The sequence below is a fragment of the Homo sapiens genome, chromosome 20, assembly GCF_000001405.40.
Source record: "Homo sapiens chromosome 20, GRCh38.p14 Primary Assembly".
Lineage (NCBI taxonomy): Eukaryota > Metazoa > Chordata > Mammalia > Primates > Hominidae > Homo > Homo sapiens.
Window position 1 is genome coordinate 2,928,749 of NC_000020.11, and position 22,114 is coordinate 2,950,862.

The 22,114-nt window shown below is 39.8% G+C and overlaps 1 protein-coding gene across 28 annotated transcripts in view, besides 1 other annotated feature; it reads left to right on the top strand.

Moving 5' to 3' along the window:
* PTPRA (protein tyrosine phosphatase receptor type A) overlaps positions 1-22,114 on the top strand; it is a 174,486-nt gene that overhangs the window by 64,565 nt on the left and 87,807 nt on the right. For 19 of the 28 annotated variants that reach the window (NR_170936.1, NM_002836.4, NM_001388321.1 and 16 more), the window contains one exon: positions 19,234-19,276. The exons of the other annotated variants lie outside the window; for them this stretch is intronic. Coding sequence is in view for 1 of the 19 variants with exons in the window: in NM_001385316.1 (NP_001372245.1) it covers positions 19,234-19,276 (43 nt within the window). In the remaining 18 variants the exon portion in view is untranslated. The remainder of the gene's footprint in view (positions 1-19,233; positions 19,277-22,114) is intronic. 28 annotated transcript variants of the gene reach the window in all.
* Positions 8,295-8,589: a silencer, noted in NCBI's record as "tiled region #1396; K562 Repressive non-DNase unmatched - State 15:Elon". NCBI's record gives its function as "represses a minimal TATA promoter and a strong SV40 promoter by Sharpr-MPRA in K562 cells {active_cell/tissue: K562}" and the evidence as "EXISTENCE:reporter gene assay evidence [ECO:0000049][PMID:27701403]".

Below are 22,114 nucleotides of genomic sequence, written 5' to 3' on the forward strand. Positions count from 1 at the left end.
TCTGTCCTTTTTAAAAACTCTTTGCTTTTGGTTGTTTTCCTGGAGATTGTCATAACTTTATCTCCTAATCTTTTTTTCTCTCTTTTTTTTTTTTTTTTTGAGACAGGGTCTCACCCTGTGGCCCAGACTGGAGTTCAGTGGTGCCATCACAGCTCACTGCAGCCTCGAGCTCCCAGGTTCAAGCAATCCTCCCACCTCAGCTTTCCAAGTAGCTGGAACTATAGGCATGCGCTACTACACCCAGCTAATTTTTTTTATTTTTAGTAGTGACAGGGTCTCACTGTGTTGCCCTGGCTGGTCTCAAACTCCTGAGCTCAAGTGATCCTTCTGCCTCTGGGGACTACAGGAGTATGCCACCACACCTGGCTAATTTTTGTATTTTTTAGTAGAGACAGGGTTTCACCATGTTGCCAGGCTGGTCTTGAACTCCTAGGCTCAAGCGATCCACCTGCCTCAGCCTCCCAAAGTGCTGGGATTACAGGTGTGAGCCACCACACCTGGCCTGCTGTTTTTTCTTTTACTGTTTCTTAAACTAGTCTTCTCCCCGCTTTCTTTTCCTGTATGAACGTTAATAGTTGACCACAGCATTGGCCCTGTAATACTCTTTTGTTCTTTGTATTTCTTCAGTTTTATTTAGCCTCTGTTGTGTGTTCACACATTCCTTTTTATTTGCTTGATGTGTGTCCCATCCCTTCTTTTGAACACTGTGTGGTCATTAATGAGAGTGTGGTAGGATTTTATGTACTGATATTTAAGAAAATGACCATAAAATGTTCTTGGAGATGGTCTTTAAAGACCGGGCATGGTAGCTCATGTTTGTAATCTTAGTACTTTGGGTGGCTGAGGCAGGAGGATTGCTTGAGCTCAGGAGTTTGAGACCAGCCTGGGAAACATGGGGAGATCCCATCTCTACAAAAAATGCACAAATTACCCAGGCGTGGTAGTACATGCCCGTGGTCCCAGCTATTCCAGAGCCTGAAGTGGGAGGATTGCTTGAGCCCAGGAGCTCGAGGCTGCAGTAAGCCATGTTTGCACCACTGCACTCCAGCCTGAGTAACAGAACAAGACCCTGTCTCAAAGAAAGGAAAAAAAAATTTTAAGTAGTTGATTAAAAGAGGTCTTTAGGGTGGGCTCTAATTTGATGTGACTGGTGTCCTTGTAAGAAAAGGAAATTTGTACACGCAGACATCAGAAACAAATACACAGAGGAATGACCAGGTGAGGATACAGTAAGATGGTGGCCATCTGCAGGCCAAGGAGAGAGGTCTCATAGGAAACCAAACTTGCTGACACTTTCATCTTGGACTTCTAGCCTGTACAGCTGTGAGAAAATAAATTTCTGTTGTTGAACCCACCGAGTCTGTGATACTTTTATGGCAGCCCTACCAAATGAATATAGACATTTAAGAAGGCTTGGTGCATTGCAGCATTTGGTAAATTATTATGCATTTCGTTGTATTGTGCATGTAGTGCCATTACTGAGAATAGCAGGATGGATGGGAAGCATCGAGACAAAGTAAAATACGAGCTGGCCACTAACATATGGTATGATTTTGTGGTAGGTGAAAAAAGGATTCCAGAAGTAGAGTGCTTATGAAAGAAAAGCTCAGTAGTGTAAGAATTTTACACCAGTTTGACTTTAACAGAGAGTGAGTTCAACAGTGAAAGATGAGGTTGCAAATGTAGTTTGGGGACCCATATTAATTTCCTGGTGCTGCCCAAACAAAGTACCATAAACTCGGTGGCTAAAGACAGCAGAAATATATTGTCTGGCAGTTCTGGAGGCCCAAAGTCAAGGTGTTGGCAGTGTTGGTTCCTTCTTGGGGGGAATCTGTCCCATGCATCTCTCCTTAGCTTCCAAGAGCCCCCTGTGTTATTTGGATTGTAAATGATCACTCAAATCCTCTTTCTTCAATTGGCATTTTCCCTGTCTGTTTTCACATGATTATCTTCTTATAAGGACACCAGTCATATTGGATTAGGGGCCCACAGTACTCCAGAATGACCTCATCTTTATTTAACTAATTACATCTTCAACGACCCTATTTCCAAATAAGGTCACATCCTATGGTACTGGGGATTAGGACTTCATATCTTTTTTGGGGAGGCATAGTTCAACCCATAACAGGGGCCAAACTGTGAAGCATTTCCTATATATCAATCCAGATATTTTCAAATCTATTGTTTATTCAGTGGGAAACCATTGAAAACTTTGAGCAGGATGAATCTAACACTTTAGGAAGACTCCTTGGGGATGGGGTTGGAGAGATGTTAGCTGCACTGGAAGTCAGTAGACCAGAGTCTGGACCACTGGGAGTCTGGACCAGATCAATGTTATGGAAAACCAGGATTCTGGGGCTCCCACTCAAGATATCCCAAACCCAAATCTTCAGACTGGAGACCCAGGACTGTTTTTTAAAAGCTCCCTCTCTCTCCCTGTGAGTCAGATGATTTAGCCTAGCTTGGATGTAACACTGGGTGTGAGGTGATAGAGGCATGAAATGGGTTGGTGGTTATGCAAGTAGAAAGACCAGAGAGAACCTGGGAAAAGAGACATTTCGAAAAAGTAGTATGTAAACTGGCACCGGAGAGTCTGAGACAGTGGTGGAATCCTTAACAGAAATAAAGATGTCTAGAGAATAAATTGGGTTTAAAGGGAAGGTAATTAATTTGGTTTACAGTGTAAGGTGATAGACAGTCAGCAGGCACTTGGAGAATGGTGATGTATGTTCAGAAGTGAGATAATGGAGGTGATAATCAAAACCCTTTGTTTTGATTTGAGCCTTTGTGTGGGAGAAAGGATATGGCGAGAAGAACAGAAGATCAGGAAGCCAATACTGTAGACCCTCATTCCCTAGCCCCTGAAACAAATGGATTTGACTTCTCTGTCATGACACCTGGAACAAATGTGGCATTGCTTACTTACTTCCTTTGCCATGAACTCAGTGAAGGCAGGGACGGGTCTTGGCTTGTGTGTGTGTGTGTGTGTGTGTGTGTGTAAGAGACTGGGTCTCATTCTGTTACCCAGGCATGAGTGCCATGGCATAATCATAGCTCACTGCAGCCTCAAACGAACCTCCTCCCTCAGGCCTCCTGAGTTGCTGGGACTACAGGCATGCACCAATGGCCCTGGCTTTTTAAAGGCCATCATCTAGCACAGTGCCTGGCTTTTCAATGGAAGTCTGTTGAATGACTGACTGACTGACCGACTTGGAAAATGAACACATCAACTTGAGAATAAGAACTTTAACTTTTTTCTTCCTTGCATCCCCTAACATTTAATCCAATGCCTGGTCCTTAATAGGACCCAAATAAAATTTTGATGTGTGAATGGTAGAAGAAAAGCTAAAATTGAGTAGTCATTGTGTCAAAGAGAACCAGGAAACAGAGAAGCTTTTGAGAATAAGTTGACCATAACATGTCAAATGCAAGTCAAGGAGAATGAAAACTGAGGGCAGGAATTAGATTTAATCAGGAGGTTATTTGTAGATTTGAGAACGAAGGATTTAAGAACATAATGAGGTTGTTAAGGGAGAATGAAGGAATTAAGATCATAATGAGGTTGTTAAGTAGAGGTGGAAAGTGAGGAAATGAAAGCCAAGTACATCTTATACAAGTTTAGTAGTAATGAGGAAAAGAGAAGCTCATAGAGTTAAAGCTCTAAAAATCTGTTTAGAACATCCGTGTCTATTTGTAAACAAAGGGGTATGAGGGTTAGGGATGGAAAAATGGAAAGTACCAGAAGGAAATGCATAATTTTAGGGGAAAGATCTCAAATGGGATCAAGAACATGGGCAGTAGCCTTAAAAAGGATGAGGGAATCTCTTCCTCTAGTCTAAAAAGGGAGAATAGAGGCTCTATAGAGGAGAGAGAGGTCATGTCCTCTTGTCAGCCATCTGCTCAGAGGGAGCTTGGGCTGCTGTGCTAGAAACTGACATAGGAAACTGACAAAGGAAGGATATGTTTTCTGCACAGCACTGAGGAGTGTGATACTCCTAAGCAGTAGTTGGCAGCCTGAGATAGGAATGGTGGAACCAGATGGTAAGTATAATCCAGGAATCAGGATGGCACTTTCTGTAGATTAGGGAGTTGTAGGCTGGGGGTGTACTTTTATTCACTCTTCTCTGATTCAGAGGTTTTATAATTTTCACTAACATCATTAAAAACAATATTGGATGCCTACTACCTGTTGGTTTTTATTTTAATCTTGGGAAAAAAAAGTAAAAGCTACTATCCTGAGGTTTCTGGTTTTATTGGGGAGATAGATCATATATGTAAAAAGCAAGTTTAGCAAATGGCACATGGCATTATAGACTAAGTCCCAAATCAGTAGATTACATAAATGTCAGAGAGATTACAATTATAGCAGTACACTTTGAGGTTCTTTTCCCCTTAGCTTATGAACATTTAAATTTTGTCACTTTTATAAATACATGCCTATTTGAGAGGTAAGAAAAGTACCATGTTGCTTTAATTTGCTTTTCTTTGTTAGCAAAGATGAATTTTTTCAGTTGTTTATCATTATTTTACTTTTTATGAATTGCCTATTCATAGCTTTTATCCATCTTTCCATGGTTGTGTTTGTACTTACTAATTTGTAAATACCTCATTTAATAAGGTTATTTAACCTTTTGCCTGTAACATTTTGCAAATGTTTTTTCTAGCTTGTTTTTTGGGGTTCTTTCTTTTGGTTGGTTGGTTGGTTGGTTGGTTGGTTGGGTTTTTTTTTTGAGACAGATCATCACTCTGTTACCCAGGCTGGAATGCAGTGGTGCCATCTCTGCTCACTGCAACCTCCACCTTCTGGGGTCAAATGATTCTTGTGTCTCAGCCTCCCAAGTAGCTGGGATTACAGGCGCACGCCACCACGCCCAGCTAATTTTTATAATTTTTGTAGAGATGGGGTTTCACGATGTTGGCTAGGGTGGTCTCAAAACTCCTGACCTCAAGTGATTTGCCTCCCTCAGCCTCCCAAAGTGCTGGGATTACAGATGCAGCCACCATGGCCAGCCTTTTCTAGTTTTTTTAATTTAAACATTTTCTTTCAGATTTCTTATTTTGATTTATTTTCAGTTTATGATGTTTTGTTGACACATAAGAGTTTAAATATCTTATGTATTAGAAACTATTAAATATTTCTTTTTAATATTTAGGAAGGCTACCTCAGCCTGAGAACAGACAAATATTTTCAAATGTTTTCTTCAAATTGTTTTATAGTTTATTGGTACTTATTTACATTCCATTGTATTATTGTTATTTATATACTTAAAACTTTAAACCATTTTGGAATATTGCATGAAATAGAGACCTAATTTTTGCTGAGTAGTTCAGCAGTTTCTAGTACTGTTTACTAAATAATCTATGAAAATTTTCTGCGGATTCCTAAATGATTTTGTCCAGGCTGGAGTACAGTGGCACAATCATGGCTCACTGCGGCATCTACCTCCCCAGGCTCAGGTGATTGTCCCACCTCAGCCTCTCAAGTAGCTGGGACTACAGAAGTGCCACTACACCCAGCTAATTTTTGCATTTTTTTGTAGAGACTATATTTCACCATGTTGCTGAGCCTGGTCTTGAACTCCTGGGCTCAAGCGACCTGCCCACTTCGGCCTCCCAAAGTACTAGGATTACAAGGCATGAGCCACCGGGTATTTTTTATCATATTCCCAATACTTATGTATACAGACTTCCTTGTTTATAAATCTGTATCTGTACCATTGCCACATATTATTGTATTAATATAATCTCATAGTGCAAATACTTGTTCATTATTTGTTTTAAATAATGCCTAGACTACACTCACCTATTTGTATATGTGAACTTTTTTTAAAACATTTTATTTTTTAATAATTTAAGACTCAGAAAGCTGCAGTAGTACAGGTTCCCAGGTATGCTTCACCCAAGGGCTTTCAATTAGAACCTTTTTTTTTTTTTTTTTTTTTGAGATGGAGTCTCGCTCTGTCACCAGGCTGGAGTGCAGTGGCGCCATCTCAGCACACTGCAACCTCTGACTCCCTGATTCGAGCAATTCTCCTGTCTCAGCCTCCCGAGTAGCTGGAATTACAGGCATACGCCACCACACCCAGCTAATTTTTGTATTTTTAGTCAAGACGGTGTTTCGCCATGTTGGTCAGGCTGATCTCAAACTCCTGACCTCAGGTGATCTGCTTGCCTTAGCCTCCCAAAGTGCTGGGATTAGAGTGGTGAGCCACTGTGCCCGGCCCCTGAAATCACCTTTTCTGTAATGCTACTTTGTTCAATAAAAATAACATATTAATATCCTTTTTAAAAATACATACAATATATTGTTATTAACTGTAGTCACCATGATGTACAATAGATCTCTTGAACTTATTCCTCCTAACTGAATTTTGTGTCCTTTGTTCAGTATTTCCCCAATTCCCCTACCCACCAACCTCTAGTAACCACCATTTTACTCTCTATTTCTATGAATTCAACTTTTTACATTCCACGTGTAAGTGAGATCATGTGATATTTGTCTTTCTATGTCTGGCTTATTTCGTTTAACATAATGTCCTCCAGGTTTATCCATGTTATCACAAATGACAGAATTTATTCTTTTTTTAAGGCTGAATAGTGTTCCATTGTGTATGTATGCCACATTTTCTTTCACCATTCATCCATCAATGAATGAAAACACTTAGGTTGATTTCATATCTTAGCTATTGTGAATAATGCTGCAATGAACATAGTAGTACAGATATCTCTTCAACATACCCATATTAGTTATATCCTTTAGATATATATCCAATAGGGGGAATTACTGAATCATATAGTAGTTCTATTTAAATTTTTTTTTGTTTTTTAATTTTGTTTGTTTAGAGACAGGGTCTCGCTGTGTCTCCAAGGCTGTAGCACAGTTCTGCAATCATAACTCACTGTAAGCTCAAGTGATCTACTTCAGCTTCGCTACTACAGGCACATGCCACTATAGTCAGCTAATTTTTAAAAATTGTTTGTAGAGTCCAGGTGTGGTGGCTCACGCCTGTAATCCCAGCAATTTGGGAGGCCTAGGCGGGTGGATCACCTGAAGTCAGGAGTTTGACACTAGCCTGACTGCCATGGTAAAACCCCATCTCTACTAAAAATACAAAAAAATTAGCCGGGCGTGGCTGTGCATGCCTATGATCCCAGCTACTTGGGAGGCTGAGAGGCAGGAGAATCACTTGAACCCGGGAGGCAGAGGTTGCAGTAAGCCAAGATCTCGCCATTGCACTCCAGCCTGGGCGACAAGAGTGAAAATCCAACTCAAAAAAAAAAAAAATCGTTTGTAGAGACAGGGTCTCACAATATTGACCAGTCTGGTCTCAAACTCCTGGCTTCAGGCAGTCTTCCTGTCTTGGCCTCCCAAAGTGCTGACATTATAGCCATGAGCCCCTGCACCCAGCCTTATTTTTAATTTTTTGAGGAACCTCCATACATGTTTTCCATAATGGCTGTACTTATTTACCTTCTCACCTTATTGTATAATGGTGCATATCTCAGAATGTGTCCTTACTGAGTGACACATAACTATATTTGAAGTAAGTTTCTTATAGATAGCATATAGTTGGGTCTTTTCTTTTCTTTTTTTAATAGAGACAGGGTCTTGCTATGTTGCCCAGGCTGGTTTTGAACTCCTGGGCTCAAGCAGTATGCCTGCCTGGGCCTCCCAAAGTGTTGGTATTATAGGCATGAGCCACCATGCCTGGCCTAGGTCTTTTTTTTTTGAGACAGGGTCTCACTTTTGTCACCCAAGCTGGAGTGCCGTGGTGCAATCATGGCTCACTGCAGCCTCAACCTCCTAGGCTCAATCAGCCCTCCACCTCAGCCTCCTGAGTAGCTGGGATTACAGATGCATGCCATCATGCCTGGCTAATTTTTGTTTTGTTTGGGGTTTTTTTGGTAGAGACAGGGTTTTGCCATGTTGCCCAGGCTGGTCTCGAAGTCTTGGGCTGAAGTGATCCACCTACCTTGGTCTCCCAAAGTGCTGGGATTACAAGCGTAAACCATTACACGTGGTCTAGTTGGGTTCTTTTTTAAAAGAATCAGTTCTACTAATTTCTTTTCGTTGGTATGTATAAACCATTTATATTTAATATAATTATTGATACTTTGGATTTAAATTTGCCATTTTTGTTTCATTCATTATTTTTGTTCTTCTGTTTCCCCTTTCCTGTTTTACAGTGGGTTCCTTGAACATTTTTTAATATTTCATTTTGAGTGTATCTCTTTATAAAGTTTTTTGTGTGATTGCTCTAGGAATATATATGTAGATAACTTATTACAGTCTATTAATATCAACTTTTTACCACCTTAAGTAGAATGTAGTTAGTTTTAGTAGAAGGAATCTTTTAGTTCCTTCTACCTTTCTTCTTCTTTTTTTTTTTTTTTGAGACGGAGTCTTGCTCTGTCATCAGGTTGGAGTGCAGTGGCGTGATCTCAGCTCATTGCAATCTCCACCTCCCGGGTTCAAGCCATTCTCCTGCCTCAGCCCCTCCGAGTAGCTGGGATTACAGGTGCATGCCACCACACCCAGCTAATTTTTGTATTTTTAGTAGAGATGAGGTTTCACCATGTTGGCCAGGATGGTCTCGATTTCCTGACCTCGTGATCTGCCGGCCTCAGCCTCCCAAAGTGCTGGGATTACAGGCATGAGCCATTGTGCCTGGCACACCTTCCTTCTTTATGGTACAGTTGTCTTAAATATTACCTCTACATACAAGGAGAACCACTTCAGGGACTGCTATAATTTTTACTTTCAACCATCAAACATAATCTTTAAAACTCAAGAGAAGAATTGCTTAATTAGTGTATGTATGTGTGTCTGTATATGAATAAACATATATATATGCATAACATATATATGGATATATGCATATATAGACACACACACACCCTTTCCATTGCTTTTTCTTTACTTCTATTTGAGGTTTTCTTCTGTTATCATTTACTTCCTTTCTGATAGAGTTTCTTTAGCCATTCTTTTCAAAGCTGATCTGTTGGTGACACATTTTTAGTTTTGTTCATCTGCCAGTATTTGTATTTCATTTTTATTTCTGAAGGATATTTTCACTGTCTATAGAATTTTAGCTTGATAGTTATTTTCTTTCAGCATTTGAAAAATATTGTATCCATCCTTGTGGTTTCCATGGTTCCTGATGAAAAATCTGTTGTCTTTCAAATTGTTATTCTCCTATGAGTGATATGTTGTTTCTCTCTAATTGATTTCAGGACTTTTCTTTAGTTTTTAGAAGTTTGATTCTGTAAGTTTATATCTAAATCTGAGGCTGAGTGTGGTGGCTCATGCCCATAATCCCAACACTTTGAGAGGCCAAGGTAAGAGGATTTCGTGAGTCCAGGAGTTTGAGACCAGCCTGGACAACATAGTGAGACCCCACCTCTAAAACAGATAGATAGATAGTTGATTTTGTTTTTGTTTTTTCCTTTTTTTGAGACGGAGTCTTGCTGTGTCACCCAGGCTGGAGGGCAGTGGCTCGATCTTGGTTCACTACAACCTCCGCCTCCTGGGTTCAAGCAATTCTCCTGCGTCAGCCACCCAAGTAGCTGGGATTACAGGCACCCGCCACCACACCCAACTCATTTTTTGTATTTTTAGTACAGATGGGGTTTCACCATGTTGGCCAAGCTGGTCTCGAACTCCTGACCTCAGGTGATCCCCCTGCCTCAGCCTCCCAAAATGCTGGGATTACAGATGCGAGCCACCGTACCCAGTAGACAGTTTTTAGCCATTATTTCTTAAATTTTTTTTTTTCATCTCTCCATTCATTCTCTTACTCTTGGGACCCTGATAGCATGAATGTTAGATCTTTGTTATTATCCCACAGGACTTTGAAACTGTGTTCATTTCTTTTCAATCTACTTTCTCTCTTGTACAGACTGGATGATTTCCATTCATTTAAGTTTACTAATTGTTTCCTTTATCATTTTTCTTTTGCTGTTGAGCCCATCCAGTGGGTCTTTTTAATTTCAGAAATTTTATTTTTAAAAATTCCATTTGGTACTCCTTATGTCTTCTATATGCTGAGTGTTTATAATGTCTTGTTTGAGCAGTTTCATGAGCGCTGTTTTAAATTCTTTTCAAATAATTCCAAAATCTATATTATCTTGGTATTGTCATCTGTTGATTGCCTTTTTTCATTCAAGTTGAGATTTTCATGTTCCTGGTATAATGAGTAATGTTGGATTGCATCCTAGCACTTGGAATATTGTGCTATGAGATTCTGGTTCCTGTTTAAATTTTTATATTTAACAGTCAACCTGTTTAGGTTTAGAACACATACCCTGTCCCACTTTTGTCGACTGTGGTTCAGTTTTCAGTCTTGTTTTACTCTTATGGTCTGTGCTACCGAAAGGCCAGTCTGAAATTTAGGTGTTATTCCGGAGCAGTGTTCAGTTCTTATGCCTTTTGCTGTGTTGTTTCTGGTCATTTTTACACATGGGTTGCTCAGAGGCACTTTTAGGATTTCATACACAGATTCAGAGAATTCATTTCTCTAGCTCTCTCCTCACCATAATCCTTTCCCAATTCTGTAGTTTTGCTGGGATTAGGACTCCATCTGGTTATTCCAGGGTAGAGAAAGATGAGTTCACCCACATTCTCTGCAGCTGTAACATGGAGAAGAGGGGAAAGGCGTGCCACCTCATTATGGCAGAGTTGTGTTGGAAGGCAGAATGCTGTTCACAATTTCTGGGCCACAGTGTCTGGTGAGGAAAAGGAGGGGTACCTCCTCCCCTTTTTTAGTTTGCCTGGTCAAAATGTTTTTGTCTGCTGAGCTGCCCCTTTCCCAGTTCTTTACCTAGAGAGGGCAGGCTTTTCTTGGCACTTTCTTGTCTGTGCTTACTGGATCTTTCAGATTGTGGCTTCAGAGCTTGGGCTAGGACATATTAGAAGTTAAACCAAACCAAACAAAAAAGTAGGGAGCTTCCTGTTGGGTCAGTCCTCATGTCCCCTGGTCCCTAGCCAATCTACCTTCTTTTTTCTACTTTTCAGAATTTTTCTGTCACTTGTGTCATGAATTTCATCTAGAATGTTCGGTTATAATCGGTGGGAAGGGCTGGGCGCGGTGGCTGACGCCTACAATCCCAGCACTTTGGGAGGCCAAGGCGAGCGGATCACCTGAGGTGAGGAGTTCGAGACCAGCCTGGCCAACATGGTGAAACCCCGTCTCTACTAAAAATACAAAAAAAATTAGCCGGGCATGGTGGGGGACGCCTGTAATCCCAGCTACTTGGGAGGCTCAGATAGGAGAATCGTTTGAACCCAGGAGGTGGAGGTTGCAGTGAGCTGAGATCGCGCCACTGCGCTCCAGCCTGGGCAAGAAGAGCAAAACTCCATCTCAAACAAAAACAAAAACAAAAACAAATCAGTGGGAGGAATAGGGTGGAATATGCTTACTCCATCTTTTCCTGAACTGTAAATCCCTGCTGCAATTTTAAATTATGAACTTTAGTTCCAGTAGTTTTTTTTAACCTATGTACGTAGTCTTTCAAATACAAATAACAGTTAAGGGGTTTTCCCCCAATAATTATATCTTGTTTTCTTTTCTTTTCTTTTTTTTTTTTTTAAAGAGACCGGGTCTCGCTGTATCGCCTAGGCTGGACTTGAACTCCTGTGCTCAGGCAATCCTCCTCCCTCAGCCTTCCAAGTATCTGGGACTACAGGCATATACCCCCATACCTAGCTGTTTTCTTATCCCATTATCTACTTTTAGAACAAGGATTGGCAAACTATAATCTGTTTCCCATATCCAGCTCACTGCTTATTTTGGTATGGCAGACAAGCTCAGAATAGGTTTTCCTTTTTTTTGGAGACAGGTCTCACTTTGTCACTGAGGCTGGAGTGCATTGGTGTAAACACAGCTCACTTCAGCCTCGACCTCCCAGGCTCATGGGATCCTCCTGTCTCAGAGAGAAAAAGAGAGAGAGAAAAAAAGAAATTATATGAAATTCAAATTTCAGCGTTTTATTAGAATATGCCATGTTCATTTGTTTATATATTGTCTGTGGCTGCCTTCATGGTACGACAGCAGAGTTGAGTAGTTGAAGCAGAGACTTAATTGCCAGCCCTTTTTCCAGATGATTTGTAAATCCTAGAAGTGAAACCATTGTCCCTTTCTTGTCCTGCTTTAGTGATACTGATATTTCAAGATACATAATTTTCTTGGGTGAAAGTTTCTTTTGTTTCTGGTTTCTAGGTATTTGTGAGATATTTCTCTCACAAAACGTGTTCTTTTCTTCTGGTTTTTTTTTGGGGGTTTTTTTTGTTTCTTTGGTTTTTTGAGACAGTCTCGCTCTGTCACCCAGGCTGGAGTTCAGTGGCGCGATCTCAACTCACTGCAACCTCTGCCTCCTGGGTTCAAGCAGTTCTCCTGCCTCGGCCTCCCTAGTAGCTGGGATTACAGGTGCCTGCAATCACGCCAGGCTAATTTTTGTATTTTTAGTAGAGATGGGGTTTCACCATGTTGGCCAGGCTGGTCTTGAACTCCTGACCTCAGGTGATCTGCCCTCCTTGGCCTCCCAAAGTGCTGGGATTACAGGCATGAGCCACTACGCCTTGTCTCTTTTCCTCTGTTATCTGACTTACTGGATGGCATCTGTTAGGTAAATCAGAAACCAAAGAGGAGTAGCATTCAGCACTCCCTGTCACCCCAAGAGCAAATCTATTATCACACCCTGTGCAGTTTACTTCCTGAATATCTCCTTCCTTGTAACACTTTTGTGTCTCCACCAGTAACTTCTAACTGGACTGTCCACATCCAGTGCTATATTCTCTACACCCAGCTAAATGAAGTGTTCATTCCAAAATGCAGGGCAGGGAGGTCACTGTCATGCTTCTGTTCTTCAAAGGCTTCTTAATGCTTATGGGACAAAGAAAAATCACCCTTGTGTGGCCCTACCCTGTATACATCTCCAGCTTCCTGGCACCTGCTCCCCCTTACTCTTTATACTTCAGACACGGTGGCTTCTTTCAGACCCTGCTCCTGCCCTTTCTGAGGTTACGGACTGGCATGGAGTTCCCTGCCCTCCTTAATGCCTCCCTGATTCCTGTTCATCTTCTACTTGTCAGCTCAGGAATCAGTGCCTTAGGGAGGCCTTGGCTGAGCTCCCTGACTAGGTCAAATTTTCTTCTTCTATAGGCTCTTAGAGTCCTATAATTCTCTTTTCCATCACTTCTCCTATTTGTCTGTGAGGTGATTTGTTTAATGTCAGTTTTCTGCTACTAGACTGTAAGCTTCATGAAGATAGGGATTCTGTTAGAATTTGTTCACTATTTCTAGTAGAAGGAACAGGGCCTAGCACATAGTAAATACTGAGTAAGCGGGTTATTTCCCCAATGATTGCCTTTTTAAAGAAAACCAGTTCTGTAAACCAGCATTCATCAGGCTTATCATATGGCTTTTTATATTTTGAATTATTTTTGTGAGGATTTTTATTAATATGTTTTCCAATAATGGACCATGGTTAAATTTTTGAAGTAAGCCTTACTTGATCAGGTTGTGGTATAATTATAACATATGCTGCTTTTTCTTTGCTAGGATTTTAAGATTTTGCAGTTAAAGTTATTTTCTTTTTTGTGTGCTTTGTCAGATTTTGACATCAGTGTTATACTAGTATTTTCATGGCTTATTTTATTCCATTCTTTTATTTTCAACTTTTCTATATCCTTAAGCTTAAAAATGTCTCTTTTAAACAGCATATAATTGAGGGCTTTTATTATTAGGCTTTATAATTTTTGTATTTTAATTGGAACATTTAGTTTGTTTAATATAGTTAATATATTCTTTGCTTTCTATTTTCCTCAAAGATTTGAATAGAACAAAAGGCTGACCTCCCCCAAGCAAGAGGGAATTCTCTGGCAGTCTGCCTTTGCACTTGAAATGCAACTCCTCCCTGAATCTCCAGCCTGCCAGCCTCTTCTATTATGAGTCAATTCCTTAAAATAATTCTATATGATATATATTTAATATAATTAATATATAATGTGGCTACTACCTAGTAGAATTAATGTATACTTAATATGACATATAATATAATTACAGTAGTACCTTCTTATCTGGGGGAAGCATTATATTCCAAGACCCCCAGTGGATGCCTAAAACCACAGATATATATTTTCCTATACATACATAGCTGTGATAAAGTTTAATTTATAAATTAGGCACAGTAAAAAATTAACAATAACTAATAATAAAATACAATACTTATAATAATATGCCAGCATGTTCCTTTTTCTCTTTTTTCTTGCTTTTTGGATTGATAGACTTTTTTACTATCCTAGCTTTTTTCCCTCTTGCCAAGTTATAGACCCTGTTCTTTTAGTGGTTACCCTACAGATTACAACACATAGCCTGCATGTATAGGAATGAAATACAGTTTACGTAGGGTTCAGTACCATCTGTGGTTTCAGGCATCTACTGGGAGTCTTGGAACATATCCCCCCACCCCCCCCCCAGATAAGGGGGTAGTACTGAAATTATATTAAATATATGCTTATTATATTAAATATTAGTCATATATTACATACATATTATATAGATTTATTTTAAGGGATTGATTCACAGTGGGGGAGGCTAGCAGGCTGGAGACCCAGGAAGGAACTGCACTTCAAGTTCAAGGGTAGTCTGCTGGAGAATTCCCTCTTGCGTGGGGAAGGTCAGCCTTTTGTGCTATTCAGACCTTCAGTTGTATGGATGAAGCCCACCTACATTATGGAGGGCAACCTTCTGTACTCAAGAGTCCATTGATTTAAATGTAAATCTCATCCAAAAAAACCCCTCACAGAAATATCCAGAATAACCTTTAACCAAATATCTGGACACTGTGGTGTGGCCCAACCAAATTAACAATCACAAGTCTACTCTTTATCAACTTGGCACCCATACACATCTCCTTAAACCATTATTAATCTCCAAATAAAGACAGTAACAAAGTCATACTTCTGCTTAGCATGAAAGAACTATCTTGCATGTAGCCGAAAACACACTATTCCTTTCTCTAAAAGAGGATGCAGATTATTTGGTTGATGTTTACTCTTCTTGATATCCTGCAACTTAAATTCTAAAGTTTAAGAAAAAGTTAATACTTAAGTATTATGATCAGCTGTTAATCTAATTTTTTTTGACGAAAATATTTTCGTATCCATTTTCTATTGCTGCCTAGCAAAACATCCCCAAATTTAATATTTTAAAGCAACAACCATCAAAAATTGGCTCACAATTCTGTGAATATCAATCAATGCTGGGTAGCTGTTTGGTTCCTCTACTGGTCTTTTTTTTTTTTTTTTTTTTAGACAGGGTCTCACTCTGCCACCCAGGCTGGAGTGCAGTGGCATGATCTCGGCTCACTGTAACCTCCGCCTCCCAGGCTCAAGCAATTGTCCTGTCTCAACCTTCTGAGTAGCTGGGATTACAGACACACACCACTACCACCTGGCTAATTTTTTTATTTTTAGTAGATATAGGGTTTCACCATGTTGGCCAGGCTGGTCTCGAACTCCTCACCTCAAATGATCCACCTGCCTCGGCCTCCCAAAGTGCTGGGATTACAGGCGTGAGCCACCATGCCTGGCCCCTCTGCTGGTCTTGATTGAAGTCATTCATGCAACTGTAATCATCTAATGGTTCATCTGGGACTGAGATTGTCTCAAGCACATGTCTGGCAGTTGGTGTCACTTGTTGATTGGGCCTCTCTCTTAACGTAAGGAAGTGAGCCAAAGCTTCTCACATTATGACAGCAGTGTTCCCATAGAGCCAAATGACAGCTGTAAGTTCTCTTGAGGTATCAACTTGGAAGACACACCATTACTTCTGCATTTTATTGGTTTAAGCAAGTCACAGGGCCAACTCAAATTAAAGGAATGGAGAAATAAACTTCACCTGTTGATAGGAGTGGCAGTGTCTCACTGTAAAAGGCATGTGTACAAGGATGGGATTTTACGTAGCCATCTTTGCAAACAGTCTACCACAGTGTCTTTTTTCCTTTCGAGTGCTTAAAAAAATTGTTTTTAAATAATTATTTGGTTTTCAGAAATTTCACTATTGTGTATCTAGACACAGATTTCCTTTTTATTTATCTGTTTGGGGGGTGTTTAGGGCTTCTTGGATCTGTGGTTTGATGTTTTTCCTCAGTTTTGGAGAATTTTCAGCCTTCGTCTGTTCTTCGAATATTTCTTCTGTTCCATTTCTCCCTTTCCGCTTTTCTGAAACTGAAATTACATGTAGGTTAGATCATTTCATTGTATCCTTTATACCTCTTACCTTCTCTTTGGTATTTTTTTATAAATCTTTTTGCTTCTCTCTGCTTCATTCTAGATACTTCCTTTTGACCTATTTACCAGCTCACTAATTCTCTCTTCAGGTATATTTTACCTGTTCTTAAATTTATCCATTAAGATCTTTTTTTCAGATCTGCTATTACATTTTTATACCATTCTTGACTAAAATTCTTAATGCTACAGGACTGTTCTTCTTGTCTGTTTCTTACTGATTCTCATGTTGCCTTTTTATGGACTAGACACTGTAGTTTTAAAATTATTTATAGAAATGACCTGAGACCTATGATATATTTTTCAAGAGAGGATTTACGTTTGTTTCTAGCTTTGCCTAGGAGTCTTCAATCATTTTAATTCAGTTTCAGGGACTGATTTGCTTTTAAGCAGGGCTGTAGTCCCTACAGGGGTGGTCAACTTCATTTCACTACCTAATATACCTATTATGTGTGGAGTACTTTGCTAGATGTTGGGTAGGTCTTGTGAGCAGAGCAGACCTCTCTTTGGTCTGTATGGAGCACGGAGCTTGATTATAATTGGCAGGTGTGTGTGTGTGTGTGTGTGTGTGTGTGTAAATAAATAAATATTTATTTATTTATTTATTATAGGCCGGGTACAGTGGCTTACACCTGTAATCCCAGCACTTTATGAAGTCAAGGCAGGTGGATCACTTGAGGTCAGGAGTTTGAGGCCAGCCTTGCCAACATGGTGAAACCCTGTCTCTTCTGAAAATACAAAAATTAGCCAGACGTGGTGGCAGGTGCCTGTAATCCCAGCTACTCGAGAGGCTGCGGCATGACAGTCACTCAAGCCCGGGAGGTAGAGGTTGCAGTGAGCTGAGATTGTGCCACTGTAATCCAGCCTGGGTGACAGAGTGAGACTCCATCTCAATATATATATGCGTGTGTGTATATATATATATCTATATCTTTAAGATAGATATATTTATATAGCTAAGTAATTAATAAATATATTAAGTTCTATGAAAGCAATGAGTAGGCTGCTATGGTTGTGAATATTTGGACTACACAGGGGATAAGAATGGGTCTACCATAATTAGCAGGGACAGGTTTTGTTTAAGCCAAAAACTAAGAGGGCTTAGAACAGAAACCGCCAGGCAGAAGCAGTTACCAGTGTGAAGACTAGATGACAACCAAAAAAGTATGTGGGAGGAGGGAGGGGAGGTTGCGCAGTGGGGAGTTGAGATTGACTTAGAACTGTATTAATGAGCTTTCCCCCCAACCCCCATTTTTCTCCCATTTACCTTCAGAAAAATTAGTGATTTGGCTACCAGTGAATCTAGGCTCCAGGTGTAGCTCTGTAGTTTTGGACTAGTTACCTAATTCTTCATTCACAACAAAACAGAAGGAGAGAGGAAAAAGAGAGCAAACATGGAATTGGGATGGGAAGTAAGAGAGCACATGAGGAGAGAGACTATGTCAAGTTTCTTCGTATTCCTTTTTTAATTACAGAAGAAAAGATGGGATAAAAATATTCCATCTTATTTCTCTGTTTAAAAGAAAGAGTAGGCCGGGCATGGTGGCTCACACCTGTAATCCCAGCACTTTGGGAGGCTGAGGCAGGCGGATCACAAGGTCAGGAGTTTGACACCAGCCTGACCAACATGGTGAAACCCCATCTCTACTAAAATTACAAAAATTAGCCGGGCGTGGTGGCGCATGCCTGTAATCCCAGCTACTTGGGAGGCTGAGGCAGGAGAATCGCTTGAACCCGGGAGGCAGAGGTTGCAGTGAGCCGAGATCACGCCACTGCACTCCAGCCTGGGCAACAGAGCGAGACTCCTTCTCAGAAAAAAAAAAAATAATAATAATAAAATAAATAAAAGAAAGAGTAAATGAATCAAAATGAAGAGAAGCCATTTTATCTGCCTCCTGGATGAAGAGTTTCATTGATGAACCTGAAATGTTTTGGTTAACATGAGAAAGGAGGGTGAGAAGATGCCTGAGATGTGAGCTCCTTGAGGACAGGAGCTGCTTTCTCTCTCCAGCCTGGCACAAGACAAGGAACTTAGTTGAATGAATGAGCAAATAAGTGGTTCTCTGCTTTGAAGGAACTTGGACTGTCATTACCTTGCAAATCAGGTTTACCATTTATTTGCTTTATATAAGTTCCAGAAAGAAACTATTTCCTCTCATAATATTACTACCCTAAACTTCTGGTCTGATCTATGGATTGTAGAGCTTAAATTTCCTCAAACCCCAACAGTCAGAGATTGTTACACCAAGATAAATAGCATATTTCTCAGCGCCTTGTATTTTCTGTCTTTGGCCACAGACCTTAGGACTTAGGCTGATATTTGAGAAGGAAAAACTGGAATTTAGTAGAATTATACTTCCTGTATCTTAATTTTCCAACTCTTATATAAGGTTTGCTTTTTCTAGAGAGAGACTAATCTGGAATGAGAATGAATTCTCATCAGTAAAGGCAAAGCTTTAAGTGGGTCATCTGACTTTGCTTTTGTGCTCTACATTCACCCTGCTCATAAAAGGTCCTTTCATGAGTTTTCTAGGCTTTCATCACTGCCAGCGTCTCCACAGGCATTGTGAAAGTATTAAACTTCCTACCCTCCCCCATGCTTGTCTCATGGACTCTTTCGTAGAGTGCACAGTGGACTGTGTTTAGCTCAGCAGGAACTCTTTGCAAACACTGAATACATGAACAACCCCCCTGGAAAGATAAGAGATTTCAGTATTGCTTGGTGTCATAGCCGCAGAAGTTAGTGTCTGCCAGTATCTGATGAATATGGTGACTTGCAGCCTAATTTTTGTGAAATTATGAGGCCAAAGTTTAAGAAGTGTTCATGTTAAAGTTACTTATATATAAAATTTGCCTATCGATAATTTCTGTCAATAGGAGGTTGATGAATGCTTCACATAACCTAGATACTCCTAATTAACTGTTTTTTATTTCTTTTTTTCTAGGACACATGTTCAAAGAGCATAATTAACTTTTTAAAAGAAGCTAGTAAGTACTGAAATAGTTTTTTAAGTTTTTTCTACAAGAATAGAGGAAGAAAGGAAACATGGAATTCTGAAGGGCTACTTAGCAAGCTGCTTATGGCATAATCTGGGGTGGGGGTGCATAGTAAAGGATTTGCATTTTACTGAGACCGATACATGTCAAGGGAATGGTATTTAAAATTAGTGATATGTGTTGATTTTTCAAGGACTATAGCCCATCAACTACAATAGGCTCCAAAAAATTCTGGTGAAATTAGCTTCTTGGAGCCTTCCAGTTTACCTACTATGTTATTCCCACTATAAAATATTCTCAACTTTTGGGGTTTTAGCCACTTAAGTTTTTTATTTTCTCTAATGTCTCTAGTATCTGCTTTAGTTTCCTGTCAATGCTAGACTCTGTGGTTCAGCAGTTCATCCATTCTCTTCCCAGTACTCAACCTCGTTGCTTATAGTTTCATTACATTCATCTAGCAAAACCTTAATTCTGTATGTTTGCCATACCATTAGTGCTTAGAGCATTTTTTCAGAAAAGAATCCTGGAAAAATGGATCTTATCTCACCTGGGCCCTCAGGACTGCTGGGCTGCCTGGTGTCAGCACTTCCCGCCATTTTCTATAGCACCAGTATTATTCTTAATACTTTAAAAAACCACCAGGCACGGTGGCTCACGCCTGGAATCCCAGCACTTTGGGAGGCCAAGGTGGGCGGATCACAAGGTCAGGAGATCAAGACCATCCTGGCTAACACAGTGAAACCCTGTCTGTACTAAAAATAGAAAAAAATTAGCTGGGCGTGGTGGCGGGCACCTGTAGTCCCAGCTGCTGGGGAGGCTGAGGCAGGAGAATGGCGTGAACCCGGGAGGCGGAGCTTGCAGTGAGCCGAGATTGCACCACTGCACTCCAGCCTGGGTGACAGAGCGAGACTCCGTCTCAAAAAAAAAAAGTAAATAAAAATAAAAAACCATATCCCACTATCTCCCCCTTCTCTCTTTGCCTGTGATCTTGCTGCATACTTATGGGGAAATCTTTAAGATGTCAGATTTCAGTTCTCTCACTTTTCTACAACTTCTCCCACTTTTGCCTTTCTTATGTACCTTCCCTTCCTTCCCATCTGATTCCTTATCAGTATTTACACATGATTAGTTCTTGCCTAACCTAATAGACCCTTTCTTGAGTGCAAATCAGTGGCTATTTTTGCTAGGGTATAAAAATTACCTATCTAATCACCTTGACAAAGTTACCCTGTTATTTCCAATAACTTACTTCCTATGGATTCTTGTAGATTTTCTTTTTTTTTTTTTTAATTTTTTTATTTTCAGATGTTTTCTCGCTTTGTCACCATGCCTGGCCTAAATTCTCGTAGGTTTTCTATGTAAACAATCAGATTTTCTGCAAGTATTAGTCTCCTTTCTAATTGTTATAATTTTAATTTCTTTTTCTTTTTAAAATTTTTCGTAGAGACAAGGTTTTGCTATGTTGTCCAGCCTGGTCTTGAACTCCTGGGCTCAAGCAATCCTCCCATCTCAGCCTCCCAAAGTGCCATTACAGTGGCATGAGCCACTGTGCCTGGCCAAATTTCTTTTCTTGTTGCGAAGGCAGACTTTTCATACAATACTGAATAGAAGTGATAGTAGATTACTTTATTTCTGATTTTCAAAGGAATGCTTTCCGTTTCTCTCTGTTGAAGATAATTGCGTATTGTTTTTTTTTTTAAATAGTAACTTTTATCAGGTTAAGGAAGGTTTCTTCTATTTCTATTTAAAAGGATTTTTTAAAATCTTGAATTCATATGTTTTTATCTAATGCATTTTCTACATCAGTTGAAATGGTTGTATGAACTCTTTTAATATGGGTGAATTATATTTATAGATTTTATGTTAAAATATCCTTGTATATCTTGGATAAACTCAACTGGATCATGATTTATCTTTTTTATATGCTAGATTCAATTTGTTGATACTTTGTTATGATTTTTGAATATATATTATTGTGTAAAAGTGAGCCTGTGATTTTCTTTCTTGTAATGTTTCTGTCCAGTTTTGGTGCCTGGTTTTGCTCTCTCCTTAGAATGAGCTGGGAACTAGTCACTCTTGTTTTCTCACCTATAATAGCATCTGGGTCCAGTGTTTTTTATGTGGGACAAATTTGAACTTGTGGTCAACCTCTTTAATTGTAAGAATATTCAGGTCTTTTGTTCTTCCTGGGCTAGTTTTTTATTCTTTTTCTAGAGATTCGTTCATTTTTCTTAGTTTTATTTGCCTATAATTGTGGATAATCTGTTTTTTATCTGCTACTTCTGTAATTATTTCCACATTTGATTTATAATATTAACTTGTGGGCCAGGCGTCGTGGCTCACACCTGTAATCCCAGCACTTTGGGAGGCCGAGGCGGGCGGATCACGAGGTCAAGAGATCGAGACCATCCTGGCCATCATGGTGAAACCCCGTCTCTACTAAAAATACAAAAAAAAAAATTAGCCGGGCGTGGTGGCAGGCACCTGTAGTCCCAGCTACTCAGAAGGCTGAGGCAGGAGAATGGCGTGAACCCAGGAGGCGGAGGTTGCAGTGAGCCGAGATCGCACCACTGCACTCCAGCCTGGGCGACAGAGCGAGACTCCATCTCAAAAAAAAAAAAAATTTACTTGTGTCTTCTCTTTTTACCTGTTTGTTAATTTATCAAATAACTACTTTTGGCTTTGTTTCATTTTTATTATACAATAAAATGAAATTCTTTTCATTGTATTTCTTTTCATTGATTATTCCTATAATTCTTAAACAACTTTATAATTGATGTAACAATAACCTGTACACATTTAAAGTGTAAAATTTATTACATTTTGATC